At 34.6% G+C, this 20,321-nt stretch overlaps 1 pseudogene, besides 1 other annotated feature; it reads left to right on the top strand.

The window, feature by feature from the left end:
• Positions 17,288-17,789: an enhancer, noted in NCBI's record as "NANOG hESC enhancer chr2:76673861-76674362 (GRCh37/hg19 assembly coordinates)". NCBI's record gives its function as "activates a minimal SCP1, AML or CMV promoter by ChIP-STARR-seq in naive H9 embryonic stem cells {active_cell/tissue: H9 hESC(naive)}" and the evidence as "EXISTENCE:reporter gene assay evidence [ECO:0000049][PMID:30033119]".
• RN7SKP203 (RN7SK pseudogene 203) lies at positions 19,114-19,354 on the top strand (annotated as a pseudogene).

The raw sequence follows: 20,321 nt of genomic DNA, 5'->3' as shown, positions 1-20,321 counted from the left end.
CAGCCGCAGTAAACTCCAGAGGTCAGTCTTGTAATTCAAATGTGGTGATAAGCCAAACTAAGCCTATACGGAAGACAAAAATTATACTGTAAAATTTCTGCCATTTTCTTCCTGATTAGAAAGGACTCACTCCTATAAGTGGCCCTTACAGTAAAGGTGATGAGAGTTTGAATGAGTGTCTGTGTCAAGAATACTTTTCATACCCAATGAAGAGCATTCAATTCACCTGAATCAAAGCCAACCCAATATGCCTTTTTATTCAAGACAGAAGAGTATTGTTTGATAGAACTATGACTAAAATTTGTGATATCTTGATTTTTAAAATATTCAGAAAACATTTTAAAACTAATATTAAAAATATTAATAATATTTATGAAGATAAAAGATCAAACATTTGGAAAATCTCAAAATTTATTTACTTTCACAATTATGGTTCTATATGTGGTGTTTGCATGTTTAAAACTTCAAATAATAAATATAATTACAGAAACCCCAGAAAAATGTGTTGAAAACAAAATTATGATCCTCTAGAAAACTGTTTACACACTGAGACACTATTTTATAGTTTTATGCTTTTTTCCAAGCTGAAGGGAAACAAGTTTATCTTTAACATAGTACTTTTATAAATATTCAGAGCATTTTCAGTCTCCTCTAATACAGTAATTATAAAAACAGTTGGTTCCTATTCATATTAAGCTTTCAATGATTTGTTTTGTCTTATGTATAAGCTTCTTTAGCTAGATAATGAGACTGAAAACTTTACCTTTTCAAGATTCCTCAAAGGTTATTCCTAGTCTACTTAGAATTTTCCCTCTACTCTGATCCTCTCTTTGCCTTTTTCAAAGCCTCTGTTTATACCTAGAAGAATATAAAATTAAAATTAGCCAGGAGTAAAATGGAGAAAGTAGCTAAAAATGATTTTATGACATTTCTATAGAATTATGAGATTCAAGGAAAAGTGATTCTATGCATTTTTACTAAATATTTCTTTTGTTTAAGGGAAAATGATGAGACTATTATTTCACTAATTTCTCTTTTATAGATGCTAACCCTATGCTACCTGACATGATGACAATTTCTGCCAAGCTGGACTTCTGTAGATGTGCTAGATCTGTTTATCGCATTTTGATGCATTTATTACAAACTTTCACTTTCAACAATATGGGTCACATTTTTCAAGATTCTGTTGTGCAGAAGAAAGATATAGTTATTTGCCTTTTCTCCAGTTTGTGGTTATGAAATAACTTCTGCCTGACTGAGGATTAATTATTCCATGAGATAAAAACATTGGTATGATTATAGAATTTTAAATGTTAAAGGACACTAAGTAACATTTATACCAATCACTTTCTTTCAAAATTGGATTAATTGTAATTCAAAGAGATGAACTATTGCTCAAATATGGAAAGCCATGTCATGGTTCAAAGGTAGCAAAAGCTAAGGGCAGTATTCTCTTCTACAGGACTGATTCATGATCTATCAGTTACTATATTACATTTGACGCATAAAACCCTTGAACAATGAAGGTAAGTAAGATACAGTATGTACTCCAGGGAGGTTGGTGTTTTAATCATGTGAGATAATGTATGTATGTATAAGTGTTTAAAACATGGTACGTGTTTACGGAAGTATTTTTAAATTAAGACAAAAGAAAAAAAGTTCAAATTGATAGGTTAAGGAAGAATTTCTAGGGAAGGTGGTGCTTGATCTGTATCTTGAAAGAGGAATAAATGATTTGAAGTTTAAATAAGTATCTACTCAAGGTAAAGGAAATATCTTATTCAAAGTTATGACTCTGTAGAGAACTAAGTAGCAATTTTCTGACTGGATTCCTAGTTATATAAGGAGCAGGAGAGCAACAGGAGATGAGGATGAAGATAATCAGACATGAGAGACTATGTATCATTCAAAATGGATTGGTGGGAGGATTCCTTTATCTTACACAATTGGGAGTACAAATGATCAGATGAGAAATTGTACTCCACATTTTTTCTTTTTACATTATATTCTCTGAACCTTTCATGATCAACTACATGAGGATGGCTATAGGTTTTTACATTGAACCAGGGCCTCTCTTTTGAATGCCATGATTGTTAGAAATTTTCAGATTGATTTAATAGCTAAAGACAGATTAAATATTAAAAATACTGTGTTTATTATTCTTAGCTCCCAACTTTCTTCTGATGAGAAATGTTACATGTCAATGACAATAGCAGTCACCCGGAAAGCCACTGTATTTTTTCACCTCTCTCGATCCAGAAGGCATTTGGGACACAATAAAAGAGACAGGATGTCTTCTTTATTCCCTCCTGATCTGCCTAGAAATGTGGGACTGGTCCTTTGCTCATATTTATCTTTATAAATAAAAACCCTGTTGGAGATGTTGTTGAAATAGCATGCATGTGATGTTCTGTGTAGTAAAATCAGTGGGGTATTTTCTTCGATGATATTGTTTTATCCAGTTTCTATAGGCAATGAGAACTCTTCATTGTAAAAGCAAGCAACAGAAAAGATTTGTGCATGTTCCTTATCCCAAGATCCCAAGGAATTATATTTGTTAAGTGAATTAGAGTCCTGTGTATCATTTACTTGGTCAAATTTGTGGACGCAGGGCCCCGTTACTACAGTAAATTGAACAGATGAATTATGAAAATTAAATCCAGTGTCCTCACAAATATTATTTGGAGAAAGCAGTATCTGAAAACTAACAATCTGGTTAATGAAAGCACAAAGAAATAAAACCTTAATCCGGGTTACAAATGTTCAACATATAATCAGAGTGGGAGAAGATAAAGGTAAGTTTAAATACAAGGGCGGAATATGTTAAGAAAATGCTTTTCTAGACAGGTGTGTTGGCTCACGTCTGTAATCTTGGCATTTTGAAAGGGCGAGGTGGGAGGATTCATTGAGCCCAAAAGTTCAAGACAAGCCTAGGCAACACAGTGCTACTATACAGCTATACAAAAAAATAGAAAATTAGCTGGGTGTAGTGGCACATAGCTGTAGTCCTAGCTACTCCAGAGGCTGAGGTGGGAGGATCACTTGAGCCCAGGAGTTCAAGGCTGCAGTGAGCTATGATGGAACCATTGTACTCCAGCCTGAGCAACACATCAAGACTCTATCTCTAAAAAAAGAAAAGAAAAAAAAAAGAAAACACTTTTCTGAATAGAACGAGGTTTACCTTCAGTTGAATATCAGCTCTGGTACTCACAAATATTTACTTTTTTTCTAATCTGTTAGGTAATAATAATTTTAAAATTACCTCATAGGTTTTATGAGGATTGAATGCATTTACACATTTAAAATATTCAACACATTTCATTACATGTGCCCAAGAAAGTTTAATTCACCCTTCCCTTCAATACTTTGTTGTGAGTTTCTGAAACAATACAGATTAAATATAATTGAGTTAAAGAAATTGAAAATATCTTCTAAGCTCTATTAAGAGACATAAAGAACAGTTTAAAAGAATTGCATAGGGACATTTCCCACCAGAGTGATAATGTAAAGATGACTCTAAAAAAATAGCTCTTTTAAATTATTATTTTTCCCGAATAATTTGTAAATGATAGTTTTGTGTTCATGTGTATGTGCATAGCTGTATTTTGAAAAGACAAAAGAATGTTTATTCTTCTTTATTCTATAATAAAAGCGGCCTATACTAATATTTATGCAAACATAATAAGCCTGTTGATCTTCTCATAATATGAATTTAAACATACTGAAATTCCAAATGTTATGAACACTAATTATTTTATAAATTGGTCACAGTTAAAAAAACATATCAAATATATTGATTTAGATTCATGTTTTAGAAAACAAAATATATAAAACAAATACATAATAAAAACTAATGCATTCCACTTGATGTAGAAATATACTAACCAAAGTCAGAGTGACAATGATTTATCAGATAGATAAATAGATAGGTAATTTGTACATATGCTATATAGGTGTATGTGCATATATAAATGTATAATGTAAATACATTAGCCAAATTATAGGACATCATTCCAATATTTTTATCTAAGAGAGACAGCATTTCCCATAATTTTGCTCTTATGTTTATTGACTTCCTGTTACTTTCCATGAATATATTTGAGGAAACAGGGATGGACATTGATACACTTGTACATGTAACATAGCTGTCCCTTTTGCAAAGCAGAAAAACCATCCCCTCAAGTGATGCTGTGCAACAGATTCTCCCTTTGAAGCCAATTCAGAATTTGTCTAGTAATCTTCTGGATGTGGGAGAGGACATTTAGGAATGAAATGTATCCCAGAGAGAAAATAAGAATAAAATTCACTATTTCAAGCAAACTGATTCCTTCATGCATTTGTGATATAGAAATATATTTTGTTGGCACTAATAAATATACATTAAGGACTATACTATTCTATTTCCAGTACACTGTTACATAAATGAATTTTGTACAATGTATGCGAATTGCTATAAATTCAGCTGAACCATTTAGTCACTTTATTTCAAAGTATCTATTCAATTGAACTAATGAAGTTGTAGAACATTGTCAAATAATAACAGGCTACAGAGATAGCTGTCAATATCATTCCACTCTGATTCGTTTCTTACTTGTTAGCATTCTTATTGATATGTAGGTGATTGGAAACAATGGCAGAGTAATTTTGCACAACATCTGAATTCAGGAAATAAGTGTAGAAAAGCAAATGATAATTTTGAGCAAAATCTCTCTGGAGTTAAAACATATGATAATTTAGTTTTCCAATTCATCATTTCTCTCTTTCTGTGCCCTCTTCCATGCTGAACAAAACCAGCTTCTATTCCTCTTTCCTATATTCTCTTAACAATCTACCACTCTCCCCTTCCCCTAACTTTGAAGCTTAGTGATATCATCAACCCTCTTTTTGCTTCATGTCCCATGAAAAACAGCACCCTTTTTTGTCAGTGCTTTTTCAATCTTCCACAAACATCCTTCCTCCCTACTCCTATTTGCCAGCATATTTCAAATGTAAATTCATATGTGGATACGTAGACTATTGTAATATTGCCAATCACTTCTCTACCACCACCTTCTCATCATTCCATAAGCATAGTCAAGCTGTTACAATCACTAGTCTCTGAAGATATTATTGTACCTTTGTTCTTGCCATATCTTCTTTTAAGAATATCCTTCCTAAAGCCTTACCTATGAAAAGCCTCCATATAAGACCCTTTCCTCAAGCAATCTTTTAGAATTTCTTTAACAGTTTTATTGCAGTCCAGCATTTAGCTTAGCTTTTTTGTATTCCACTAATTATATACGTTGTGTTTTGTCATTCTGAGGGCAATGTATAAAATGTACATATATATACATATGTATACATGCACAAACACATACATCTCCATACACATACACACACACAAACACATACACAAACAAAACATATGTATACATGCACATACATACACATCTCCATACACATGCACACACACAAACACACACACACACACACCTCTAATCATTACTTGTGTTTACTATCCAGACTTATGAGAACCTTGGGCTAAAGGCAGAAATCCTATAATGTTCATCTTGTTAGAATATGAAATCCCTCATTAACTCAGAGTATTAAATGAAACAGTTGAGTTAGTAACCAAATCAACAAAGAACCAGTAGAATATATGTACAATTAGGGACTTTATCATTTTGTTCTTAGATTAATTATATGGTTCATTATACTGGAATGTGTGCTTAATTTCACAACTAGTTTTTTTTCCTTTATATTTTTGTTCTTTCCATCTGGTTTGTGTGCCTTCCATTAAGAAAAAAGAACTGTGTTTTACATGTCTGATATGCAGCACAAATAAATAAATGAATAACCAGTAGAAATAAAAGAATGAAGAACTTTGCCTCAATAAAGAGAGCCAATTTTAAAACAAAAATGACAGACACAATATACCAGTGGCTTCACTAAATGAGAGTGTGCTGAGGGTATTTTTCAGCAGCACTGTGCAAAGCTATCAGTTAACATATTCTGTCCAAACTACTAAGGTCACCATAAAGACAGTGAACACTTTTTCTATAATTTTTATATTGTTATGAGAAGACAACTACCCCATGAGTGAAGACCTCAAGATAATTAACAAGTAATTGAAGTACACATATATAAATTAGCCTTGGTCACTTTGAATGGCTGTCCAACACTACATTCCCTATTTAAGTTAATAATTTGAGTTCATTTGTTTAAATATACTTCCTCTCAATTTTTCAATTAAATTTATTAAGGAATTTAGTTACAGGGATAGTTGTAACAACATCAGAAATCAGAGAAAGCTGGAATCACCAAGTTGAGGATTTTCTGTAAGAAGCTTTATGAAGCCATATTGACGGCGATAATCACTATAAAAGTAAAGAAAGTAAAAGAGTGTCAGGGAAGATTAGTAGGTGGGGATCCAGCAAGACCCCCTTAAGCTATGGGAAAGGTCAGGTTAAGGCAGTAAGGTGGTTGGGCATAGGAAACCTGGATCTCAATTGTGTGCACACATTGGAGCAACAAAAGCAACCAAAGAAAAGTAATCATTGCCCTTCTTAGGTGTGTGTGGTGTTACTGGAATATGGTTGTGCAGGACCAGACACATCTCTCTGCTTGAATTCTACCTGACAGTCTGAACACAAAGAGCTTCCCTTACCTGGGCTGAGTGCTCTCCAGGTCTACTGTACAGCTATCATCCTTCATTACTCTCCTCTGTGGTGGCTGCCATGCTTCTGGAATTACAACTATTTTTCGTATTTTTCTGCTTTGTTTTACTATTGCATAGGCTTAAGAAACTTCCTGTGGGGTAGTTACGAGGCATTTTTCCTCTTTTCTTACTTGCCTGAATGCCATTACAATTTATTGGCCCAGTATGAAATTTTATGTAGAAATAACTTTCTCTTACGGGTTGAAAGCTTTATTCTAATTCTTCTAGTGCACATCGTGCTGCTGGTAAGAAAATAATAATCCCTGTCTGACTCTAGTCTCTTGTGGCACACTGCTTTATTTTCCCCATACTTCTTTAAAAAATTTTTTCTCTTTTAGAATTTTTTTATCTCTAACGTTCACAGTGATGTGTCCAGCTGTTTATCTTTTTCATTCATTATGCTAAACACTCAGTGGCACCTCTGAAAATTCAGACTATGTCTTCCACCCCAGGACATTTCTTGTATTTTGGCTTTTATAACTTCCCTCCTTATGGTTAACTCTTCAATTCTTTTTGTAACTCATTCACGTCAAGTTAGAACTGGATTGATTTTTACTTTATCTCTCTTTCTCTATTATCTCCCTTTCTTTTTGCAATACTACATACATAATTTCTTTAGTTTTATCTTCTGAACATTCTGTTGAATTTTTATTTTACAATTATATTTTAATTTCCAGGAGCTCTTCTTTGTTCTTTCATTGTTCAACATCCTTTTGGTCCTCTGAGGAAACTAATTAAAGAATATTAATGATGATTTTTAATTTTTTTTCAATTTCCTGATTTTTTTCTGCATTCTCTGAGGTTTATGTTTTGTCCTTTTATAATTTTAAGTTACAAGTTTTCTTAAAATATTCGGTGATTCTTGGATATTTACTAATATTTAATATTTGGCACACATTTTAAATATTTGAAAACTTTGATTATATAGCTGAGACCTGTCATCTGGAAAACTATAGGGTGGTATATTGGTCAGGGTTCCACCACAGAAACCAAACCTGAGATAGAGAAATAGAGAGAGAGGGGCAGAGGGAGACAGAAACAGAGAGAGAGAGAGATTGCAGAAAGATTGCAAAGAATTGGCTTACACAGTTGTTGAGGCTGGCTATGCAAGTCTGAAATTTGTAAGAGAGATCATCCAGAAGTATAAGCTAGAAATTCTCATGCAGAAGAAGCTTCATTCCATTGACAGAATTTTCCCTTCTTCAGGGGAACCTCAGTTCTGCTTTTAATTTTTTTAAACTGATTGAACCAGGCCCACCTAGGTTATCAAAGATAATTCCCTTTCCCCAAAATCAACTGACTGTGTATGTTAATCACCTCTACAAAATATCTTCAGAGCAATCCCTAGATTTATGGTTGGCTGAATAGCTGGGGACTATAGTCTAACCAAATTGACATATAAAACTGACTATCTCAGGTGATCAACCAAGATGTCACCTTTTTTGCTGCAAGAGGACAGAGTGGATAGAGACACAAATATTGCAGTGGTTAAGAACATGCACTCTAGAGTCAGACTACCTGGGTTTAAATTCTAGTTCTTCAGAGCATTGGTTACAATATGTAACTTCTCTGTGCTTCTGTTTCCTAAACTGTAGGAATACCTCATAATAATATCTACCTTAGAAGTATACGTGAAGATAAAATTTAACATATCTAAAGCATTGAAATGTAACCTGTCATGTTCTAATGTCACGTCAGCAATACATGAGTTTGCTGCTGTCACTGATGTTGCTATTCCTACTGGCTTCTCAGGATTCTATGGATGGTATGGAGAAGAGTGAAAAAAGGGATCAACTGTTCCATATATAAATTCTCAAATAACATCCATATAAACACCAATGTTTTCACAGCCCAAGTCACCCTGACATCTTGAATGTAAAACTAACCTCCTTTGCTATAACTCATCCCACAGGTATCATGTGTGTCAGAATCTCCAGTTATTTCTCCACTCCACTGTAAGTTTTCTTTCAGAAATGTTCTTCTATTCCTCATCTGAAGATAGCTCATCTTGTTCACTTTGTTATTATCAGTTTATCTATATCTTAGAAATCGGAAAAGCCGACCAAAGTGTTTTTTCTACTCACACTCACTTATCATACAGCACATTTCTGACACCAGATTTATGAAGGTTTTTACCCAAACACCAAGGAATTCGCCTGTGGATACCAACTGGGTGCCCTGTGATCCAATTCAATTCTGACAGTATGTACCTGGAGATCGCATCAGATCCCACAGGTTAGGCACTCAGTCCCACCAGACAGCCCCCACATCAGCTGGCAATCACAAGCCCCAGCTTATGACCTGTGCTTCTGATCAATCCCCTGTGAACTGGGGTTCTTGAGATCCCCTCCTTGGGTTCAATTAATTTGACTAGGACAGCTCACAGAAATCCAGACAACACTTATGTTTACTGATTTATTATAAAGAATATTACAAAGGATACAGATTAACAGCCAGATGGAAGAGATGCATAAGGCCTGGTCAGAGAAGGGGTGCCAGTGCCTCATACCTCCTCCAGGTGCACCACCCTCTAGGAACCGCCACATGTTCAGCTATCAGGAAGCTCCCTGAACTCTGTCCTTTTAGGTTTTTATGGAGGCTTTATTACATAGGCATGATTGATTCATATTATTCGCCATCAGTGATTAATTCAACCTTCAGGCCCTCTACTCTTGTTGGAGGTTGGAGATGGGACTGAAAGTTCTAACCATCTACTCACATGGTTGGTTCCTCTGATGAGCAACCTCTATCCTGAGGCCATCTAGGAGTCTCCAGCTACCGAGTATCTCACTATCATAAAAAAGTACTAAATCACTTAACAGATTTCAAAAGTTTTAGAAGCTGGGTTCCAGGAAATGGGGACAAGACCAAATATTTAAAAAAAAAAAAAAAGATTCTCCTAGCATCCCTATCTACAAGGATATTAGGAGGTCTGTCTCAGGAACCAGGGACTAAGAACAAATATATATTTCACAATATCATACTATGTTTTATTCCTTTTATATTATTTTAATAAATTCACAGGATGAGCTAACACAAAGGATAAAATTGTCACATCAGATTCACAGGAATCAGAGTTTACCCAGTATCAATCTTTACCAATAATTTAGGATGTTGGATATCCAGAGGCAGACAAAGCAGCCAGAGAGTTTCACAAGGGCTTCCAAATTCTTTGTTGTCACATCAGACATATGCTCTCTGTCTCAGAATAAAACATTAGGTTTCATTGCGTTTGTCATATCCAAGTGTCACTAGTGGAAGTTATCCGAGTTACCCTGAGTTACCGGCAGCTTATCTGTACGTGCCTGCAGCAACTTTAATTCTTGCCTCCTCAGAAGAAAGAATTGAAGTTGCTGTAGAATCATACAGGGGCATAAGGCAGAAGAAGAGATTGAAACAAGTCTCAGAGCAGGAGTGGAAGTTTATTTTAAAAGGCTTTAGTAAATAAAAGAAAGGAAAATTCATTTGGAAGAGACGCAAGTGGGCACCTGAAAGTCAAATTCCTGAAGGTCAAGTGCCCTGTTTAACCCTGATCCAAAGGCTTTATAGGCTCCCTCCTTCCCGTGATTCTTCCTTTAGGGTGGGCTTCCCACATGCACACAATCCTCCTTACCCTTGGGAAATGAGCATGCTGCACTGTGTTTAGGAAGTTAGAGGTATGCCCATCTGAGGCTTTCTTCTGTTCTGGTAGAGTGCTCCCGGAAGGTCATATCTCGCCATCTTGTCTCTTAACCCTGCGTGCCCAGGAAGTCTCTTCTCCCTGGCATCTGCATTTAATTAACATTTTAATATTAATAGCTGTGGATCATAAGGAGATTGTCTTTCCATGGCTTTAGAGAGGTAGTGTGATAATTGTCAAACCTTCACCTGACATTCCTAGTGGGTGGGGAGAAGAGCCCTCTCCTGCCCTGCACATGCCTATCTAACTACCTGTAACACAAAGAGCATTTAAGTGATAAAGTATCTCCATTTTATACCCCAGATATTATATAGTTAATGTGACATTCAGAAGGGAAACATGCTTCATAGATCCTCTACTTATTTATTATAGGTAATCTTTTTTGCCAAAGAATTCCTGTTAAGGGCCCTCTGTGGATAAGGTGTGTTTCTCTCAGCAAATATAATTAATTTAGTTACTTGGAGGTCCAGCTGACAAGAAAATTAGATTGAATAACTGGTCTGCTTTTTTTCCCCTAAGTAAAGTGTTGGTAAATAATATCAAAATACATAATAGCAAAGAATATGTAACATTATGATGTGAACAAATATAATTTATTATAACATCACCTCAGAGTAGAAAACCTTTCAGTTCAATTGGATAAATTTTAAGAGGAAGACAACAGAATACAAAATAATTTCCAAAAATATCTTTTTAGGAAAACAGTGATAGAATGGTATTTATTTAATATGACCAAAAAGAACTATTTTATGTTAGCCAGTAAACATCACCATTAACATCAAAATAACACTCCCATTAAAATTAGCCATAATAGAAACCTATTTTATTATAAATATTTGTTACTGCTGCAAAAATATATGCCAAAGTAATTTTTGATCCTATAATAGCATTATTTGGGATTTGAAATATACCACAGTAGTTTGTATATGGCCTGCCAAATTCATTTGAAAACAAGAAGGTATATTTTTGTTGATATATTTTCCAAAAACTTTTAAAGGCTAGTGCACTGATATAATCATACTTAGATTGCTCACAACTAAGTCTTATTGGTTTGTCCCAAGTCTTTTTTATTTTTTCTTTATTGTATTTTATGTACTTTTAAAATTTCCATAAGGAGAAATGCACTCTTTTTATTGTAGTGTTCTGAATTTAGACAAATGTGTGTAATCAGGTAACTATTACCACAATTAATATAAAGAAAAGTCCCATCATTTTCCCCAATTCCCTAGTTTTGACTCTATGTAGTTAACCCCTCCCATCATTTCAATATCTGTTAACTACTCATTTGTTTGTGTCTCGGTGGAATGTCATGTAAATAAAATTAGAAATATGTAGTGTTTTGAGTCTGACTTCTTTCGCTTAGTATAATAATGCATTTAGTATTCATCAGTGCTGTAGCTTTCATCAGTATACTCTATTTCATTGCTGAATGGTATTCTATTATATGGATGTATCACAGTTTTCTTATCTTTTCCTAAGTTGAAATATATTTGGAATTTGTTTTTACTTTTTGACATTACAAACAAAGCCACTACTAATATTTGCATAAAGATGTTTGTGTGACTGTAACTTCTCATTTCTTTTCAGTAATTACTTAGGTCCGGAATGGCTGGCTAAGTCATAGAGCAAGTGTATATTTAACTTTATAAGACACAGCCAATGGTTTTCCAAAGTGGCTATACCATTTTGCATTCCCACCAATAACACATGAGGATTGCAAATGCTCTACATCCTCAGCAGCACTTGGTATTGTCAGTTTGTTGTTTTATTCTGTTTTGTTCAGCTGTTCCAATGTGTATGCGTGATGTCTCATTGTAATTTTTAATTTGCATTTTCCTACTGACTATTTGAGCATCTTTTCATGTGCTAGTTTGCCATCTGTATATCTTCTTTGGTGAAGTGTCTGTTCAAACCATTGGTCCATTTGCCAATCAGCTGTTTGTTTTTTAATTATTTAGCTTGATAGAATTTGCATATATATTCTCTTTGTAGCTTGGTTTTTCTTCTCTGAGCAGCATCTTTCAAAAAGAAGTTTTCTTAGTTTTGAAGACCTTATATTTTTCAATATTTTGTTTTAGGGGGCATGCTTAATTTTTTGATTATATGGAATGTGTTTTGGGTGTCATATCTATGAAAACTTTGCCTAATACAATGACTCACAGATTTTCTTCTATGTTTTTATCCAATAGTTTTATAATTTTAAATCTTACTTTAGATTTATGATTCAATTTGAGTTGATTATTGTTTAATGTTTGAAGTTAAAGGGCAAAGTTCAACTTTTCTTTTAATGTTCTAGCACCATTTGTTTGAGTATCCTTTATCTTTGCAATTTTGCCAAATATTATCTCATACAATGCATATGGGTCTTACTCCGTGCTTACTGTTCTCTTTTATTAATCTATGTGACTATTTCTTCAAACATACCAGTTTTGATTGCTGTAGTTTTATAGTAAGTTTTGAAATTACATATTGTTAGCCTTCTGATCTTGGTCTTCTTGTTCAAAAGTATTTCAGTTCTTTTGTCTTTTTATATAGATTTTAAAATCAGCTTGTCATTATCTATAAAATAGTTTTCTGTGATTTTGATTGGATTCTGTTAACTTTATAGGTTAATATGGAAAGAACTAACATTTTAGCAATATTAAGTGTTCCAATTAATAAACACAGTATATTTTTCTATTTACAAAATCTTTATTTCATTTTTTCATCAGTGTTTTATAATTTTCAGCATGCACATGCTGCTCATATTATGACAGACTTAAAAGTATTGGCCTTATTCTATTGATACTGTTTTTGTATTTCAATATCCAATGAGGCATTGTTTGTACAGAGCAATACACTTGATTTTTTATTGTTGGCCTTATGTATTGTGACATAGCTAGACTCACTTTTTGGTTCCAGGAGCTTTTGTGAGATTCTTTGGGGTTTTCTATGTACACGATCATGTCCATAAATGGGTGTTTTACTCCTTCTTTTACAGTCAGTATCCACTTATTTATTTACTCATTTTGCCTTCTTACACTGGCCAAGAGCTTAGTAAAGGTGTCCAGTAGGAGGATAAGAGAGGAACTCATTTCTCTTTTCCATTCTTATTGTAAAATAATTTAGTTTTTCAGCATTCAGTATGATGGTAGCTGTAGGGTTTTCATACATGCCCTTATCAGATTGAGGAAGTAGCCTTCTATACTTAGTTTACTGAGGATTTTTATCATAAGTAGATATTGAATTTTGTTGAAGGCTCTTTCCGTATCTCTTCAGATGATCATACAGCTTCCTTTTTTTTGGTCTGTTGAGATGATGAAATACACTGAGTGATTTTTCAATGTTATACTAGCTTTGCATTCCTGGGATAAATTTCACATTTTAGTGATATATTATCCTTTTTATATCTTGCTAGATTGTATTAGCTGATATTTTGTTGAAATTTTTTCATTTAGGTTTAAGCGAGCTCATCCTGTGGATTTAATTGCTTAAATGTTTTTGTCTGAGTTAGGTATTACAGTAAATCTGGCCTCACAATATAAACTAAGAAGCCTTCCATTTCTTCTATTTTTTGAAGAAATATCTATTGAATTGATATTAATTCCTCCTTAAATATTCGAAAAATTAAACAGTAAAGCCATCCAGCCCTAGAGTGTTCTTTCTTGGAGGCAGTGGGTCGGGGAGGGGCATCCAGTCAGGTTTGAATCAACCTAATTGTGCTAACTTTGACCAAAAGCTAAGAAGTTTCAAAATGACTCAGTGGCCAATTAAATGCTTTCAAATTCACGGTTTATTGCCAGGCTTTCACACACTGATAACCATGCAAATACATTCAATACACACACACAGGATAAGAGAAAAGAAGAAAGAAACATGGTGAGTAACTTGGGAGACCAAGCAGTTTTAGATTTCTCTGGAAAACACAGCCTATATTAAGAGGAGGCCTCAGAGTTTCCAGGGGCAGAGCTCCTGCAGGTGTCTCACCATGGTCAGTTTCTTTGCTGTTTTTATGTCCCTTCACAGGAGTGTCCATGGTGTACCTCAGCCACCTTTTGGCTTCACCTTCTGTGGTGGGGTCATGGGAGTACCTGGCCATAGTAGGTGTTATCACCTCAGTCCCTTATACATATGTTTATCACTTTGAGATGTATGCAGTTTCACTGTGGACTGAGTCAGTTGTCATAAGTGACTCTCATTTTGAGATATTTAGGATTACAAAAAGTTATATATGATGGTTTTCAACAAAAATTCTATTTAGGAAGATAAGTAGGTAAATGTGTGGATAGATACATAGAGATTGATAGGTTAAGGAAGATATATTTCTTCTGCTTTCTTCATTTTCTTTTTTGCTTATATTTCGATAATAAGAATGGATTGCTTTTCAAAAATGAAAGTAATGTTTAATCGTAATGCAAGTAAGGGAACCTAATTAAATTCAAGTGTTCATCTGGACCAACAAAGGAATGAGAATAGTAAAAATCAAGAAATGTTTGAAAACAATAATGAGAAATACTTTTATGAGCTACACTACAATAATAACTAAAATGAGGTAGTACTTCTACAGGAATCAACAGATCAATTAAGTAAAAGAAAGGTAAGAAATAGATGAATGTATGAGAAAGAGAAAATTTAGTTATGCTAGAAAAGTTAATGATTTAGATGACTTTTATAACAGTAAAGAAATTCTGGGTTGTTCAGCTACAGATACTGGGACAAAACAAAAGTAACTTCTTAACTAAGGCACTGCAAAAAAGAATCAATCCCCAGGTAGATTAAATATTGAAATTTAAGATATTGAAGCCAAAACTGCCATTAGAATATACAGATGGATGTATGTGTGCTTTGGATTGAATCATATAGAAGCCCTAACCCTAATGTGATGTATTTGGAGGTAGGGCCTTTAAAGCCTTAGCTTTACTTAAGGTTAAATGAGGCCATATGGGTGGACCTTAATCTGGTGTCTTCATAAGAAAAGGAAGAAACACCAGAGATCCTTATCTCTGTGCACACAGAGGAAAGACCATATGATATCACAGCAAGGAGGCAGTCTCTGCAAACAAGGAAGAGCAGTCTCACCAGAAACCAGCCCTAAGGGTACCTCAGTTTGGAACTATCATCCTCCACAACTGTGGGCATATAAACTTCTGCTGCTTAATCCATCCAGTTGGTGGCATTTTGTTATGGCAGCCCAAGCGGACTAGTACAATGTGCAAGCGAAAGATGGAGGAAGCTAGCCTAAACCTATACCCAAGCTGGGGGTCAGGTGGGAAAGGGAAATCCCAAAGTAAACAGCCAGATTTGACATAAATAAAATTTAAATATTGTCTAGGTAAAAAAAAAAAAATACCAAAAACATCAAAGGCAGGCAACATGCCACAAAATATTTGCAACACATTCCTTAAGTAGAACAAACTAAAAACCAAAAGCAAATTACCTACAGATTGAATAGACAATTTCTGAAAGACTGAAAAATGCCCAGCAAGCATGTATAAAAGTGTTCCATCTCAAAAGTAATCAAATAAAAATTACGATAAGAAGGAAATTTCATTAGAAAATGTGAAAAAGAATGATAAACACTGTTTATCAAAGTGAGGGAGGATGGCACCATATAACATAAATGTGGGAGAATAAATTCAGACACTCAGTTGAAAGTCAGTTTGTTGACATTTATCCAAATCACGCTCCTTGACCCAGTATTACACTCCTAGAAATTTATTCCCAAAGAGAAATACTGTTTTCTTAAGAACTAGCATTTTAACTCCAGAAATAAGCTAAAAGTGCATATTTTTTATTAACAAAGAAACAGATAACACATTATGGATAGAAGTATATGAAAAAAGTAGGAAGGTCACAAGAAAAAGAGGCAAGGGGATTTGTGGATTATTTTCTCACCACACTGGGCAGATCTTGGATCAATTTAATGGCACAGAACAGTTTGCAGAATTGTTCAACAGTCTCTAGTTCAGCCAGGAAATGTATCTTTCCCAGTAATCATGTTTGAAATAGGTAGTAATATGCCTATCATACTCTTAAATACTAAACTAAATGTAGTAGCAAAATTTCAAGTTGCTATTTATAAGCTGTACAGCTTTATAGCTAATACCTACTAATCTCAACTGCTTTACGAGACAGTATGGACACACACATACACACAGTGGTGTGATCTAGAGGAGTTTAGGCCTCATGAAGGGATGCCAAGGGTGAGGTCAAAATTTCAGCTACATGCAATTCACAGCAGCATTATTCATAACAGCAATAACATCTAAGAGAAACTGGATGAAGAAATTTTATGTTCATAAGTAGAATATATAACTATTAAAAGTATGCCATAGGAGAGAAAAATTTAATGAAATGAAATTAGATAGGCAGTAAAAAGTTTGCTTCAAATGGTATGGACATTATGATTCCATCAGGAAGGATACAAACAAATATTTTTTAACAGATATTTATTGAGCCCCTATTATATATGTGACACTCTTCAAGGAGCAAGATATCAAAAGAAAATTATTTCAGTGACTTGAATAGAGGTTAACAGCATTGAGGAACTGTGGCATATCAAGGGGAATCCAGGTAACATCCAGATTAATGCAAGGTCATTGTTTTTATGGACTAGAGGATGGTCAATTATGTGTTTTTGTGGTTTTAGCTCAAGAAGTTATTGTTGTCTGTGACCCAGACTTGCCCTGATTCCTCTTTTCTCGACACTTGCTTGTGATTATTGGTGTAAAAAAGAAAGGAGGGAGGGGAGGGAAAACAGTAGGGTAGAAGAGGCAACAGGGAAACTGAGGATCCTTTATCATGTTGCTTTTAGCCATCTCAAAAAGCAGTGAACCGAACGTAGCCATCTACTTTCCAGGTGTTAACATGCTGGTAGGAGGAAAGTAACAGCATATAAAACAAATAAAATGTACAAGGCCAGAGGATATGTGTTGCAAAGAAAATTAAAGCAATTTAAGGAAGACAGAGGGAAGCAGGGCTCAGTGAATTGGTCCTGGTGGGGTAGGAGCAATGTGAGAAGGGTGATGGGGAAAGTCTCTCTGATGAAGGAAAGAAATGGGGAGTGAGGCACATGAGAATCTGGAGCAAAGTTCCCAAGCACAAGAAATGTTAATGTGCTTTGTTTAGCCTTTTCAAGACTCAGCAAGGAGGCTTCAGTAATGACAATAATAGATTGGAGAGAGGGAGAAAATAGGATCTGAATTAAAAGTGATGGAGGGAGGGGAAGGTAGACTACACTCTTGTACAAGATCATCAATACTTTTTCACTGCAGTAAAATAGGTATCAGATGGATATATTAATGATTAATTGGCAGTTTTAGGGGGTAGTTTAAATTAAAACAAACTTAGTAACTTTTTTACTGCAAATGTAGCAGGCGTTACCAAAAAACAAATTATTCTCAAATTCAAAAGTAAAATTATGTGACTAAAACGTTAAGAATTTTTGAGAAGGATAAAACAAGTTTAGGTTAAAGGAATCTAGACAAGAATAAAAAAAAAGGAGCATGAAGAACAGAAAACTAGAGACAATGCCATTTCACTTTACATTTCTTGGGAAGCACATGGTATTTTTGTATGATTTCTATAAAATTTTTCTGAAGAGCTTAGTATTCTACTTCCTTAAATGCACAATTTTATATTATGTTTTATGTACCAGAAAAACAATGCATAATGACATTTAAAATAATTTTATTAAAAAATAGTTTTTCCTAGCCGATTACTAGGCAAATAATTCTCGATAAGCTGAATATTTTTAATATTAAAAATCATAGTGTAGTTCTTACGGAGGGTGCTTCTCCAAACATTTAAGCTATTTTACTTTGGACAAATGGAAAAATTCAGAAAGCAGAGGATTCTGACAGAAACAAAATTTACCTTTATGGGTCTCAACAAAGAGTGTTATTTCTCCTTTAACTAGTAAACAAAATTCTGCTTTTTATTCCATATGAAGTTTATTTAGTTATTTTTTTTTTTCTGGATCATTTGCTTGCTATGTGAAAAGAAGGAAGTGAAATAAAAAGAACTAACACATAACGTCTCTCTTTTGCGGTTTTGCATCTCCTGATACTTAAAAAAAAAAAAAACACTTAACTTCAGTACCTTTCCTAGAACACAAAATTACAAGTTAATTGGGAGGCAGAACTAATGAGAAGAAAATGAATGTATTGCAAATAGTTCTTTCACTGAAAACATCACCTTGAGCGTAAGTGTTGTTTTTTTTTTTGGTCAAAAACAATTATTGCAAATGATGAGTCTTTTGAACCTAATTTTTTCATGCATATTTCTGCTTCTATTTTTTCCCTTGTCATAACTGTTATTAAAAATTTACCTTTTAAACCCTAAAATAAATTGTATTAAACTGATAACAATTTTATATCATATTAAAACATCAAGTTATAAAATTATAACCTCTGTTCGAAATCCACTCCCTTCACATGCTTTAGTGGTACCACTTTGCAGCCAAATGTTCTACCCTTGTGTACCCTCAAGGTAACACTTTGGATTATTCTTGTTATGGTTGTCTTGAGGCTTACTTTTCCTTTTACAATATGATTTTTCACATATAGCTTGATTTCTTATAAGTAAACAATCTCTATTGACACCATGCTGTGAATAACGGAAAATCTGTCCTATACACGACCTTCTACCTTTCTAAAATTTTAGATAGATGATGATGATAATATTGATGCAGGACAGGCAAGCCCCATAATTGAGGCTTAGCTTCGGAGAGTTCTTGGATTCATCTAGGAAACAATTCGGATGTGAGGGCGATCTGGCTGCGACATCTGTTACCCCATTGATCGCCAGGGTTGATTCGGCTGATCTGGCTGGCTAGGCGGGTGTCCCCTTCCTCCCTCACCGCTCCATGTGCGTCCCTCCCGAAGCTGCGCGCTCGGTCGAAGAGGACGACCATCCCCGATAGAGGAGGACCGGACTTCGGTCAAGGGTACACGAGTAGCTGCGCTCCCCTGCTAGAACCTCCGAACAAGCTCTCAAGGAAAGAATTCGAGGGCGAGCTGGTGGTGTTAAACAGCAACTTTTATTGAAGCGGCAATGCACACAGTAGGAGCAGAGGTGCTGCTCCTTGTGAGCAGGGATCCCTCATAGGCGATGTGCCCAGAATGGCAGCTTAGAGGCAGTTCTGCACTCATACTTATACTCACTTTTAATTATATGCAAAGTAAGGAGTGGTTTATGCAGAAATGTCTAGGATGAGGATGATAACTTCCAGGTCATTGGGTCATTGCCATGGAAAGAGGAAGTAACTTCCAGACGTTGCCAAGGAAATGGTAAACTGACATGGCACACTAGTAGACATGTCTTATGGAAAGCTATTTCCACCCCAGAACTATTTTAGCTAGTCCTCAATTTGGTCTGGTGTCCCAGTCCTGCCTCTTACTTCAATATTATAGATATAGATTTAGATATAGATAGATAAATAGTTTTAATAAATTACCAAAACATTTATGTCTTGATCCAACAATTTTAGATATTATCTCCACCTGCTCAATAAGGTAGCAACCCTATAATTTCCCCCATTCCTTTCTTCTCTTGATCTTTCTCTCTCAAAATCTCTCAAATAGGTTTGCTTTTATTATTGCGAAAGTTGTATTTGCTTTTCTATGTAACTATGATTTTTCCATGCTCTTCTTGGTTCTAAAACTGAAAACCAGTAAGTGACATTTGCAGTCTTACAACAATAAAAATATTTCCACAAAGCGAATTATGGTTGAATCCATACATAAGATGCTATCATCTAAAGTCACCAGCCTTCTAACAATAAAAAGATAATCTTCCAAGGATTAAGATCAAACACAATCCATAAAATTATCTGAGTCAAACTACATTTTGCTTGCCTTCTATTTAGACTACGACCTTTCTCTCGTTTATTCATCAGAGAAATACACTTGTCCTTTCTCATTCACATGTTTGTGCTATCTGTTGAACAATTTAGTGTGTGGAGAC

Source organism: Homo sapiens, chromosome 2, assembly GCF_000001405.40.
Source record: "Homo sapiens chromosome 2, GRCh38.p14 Primary Assembly".
Lineage (NCBI taxonomy): Eukaryota > Metazoa > Chordata > Mammalia > Primates > Hominidae > Homo > Homo sapiens.
The sequence above is the reverse complement of the archived record's forward strand: the minus strand, read 5'-3'. Positions and strand labels throughout refer to the sequence as shown.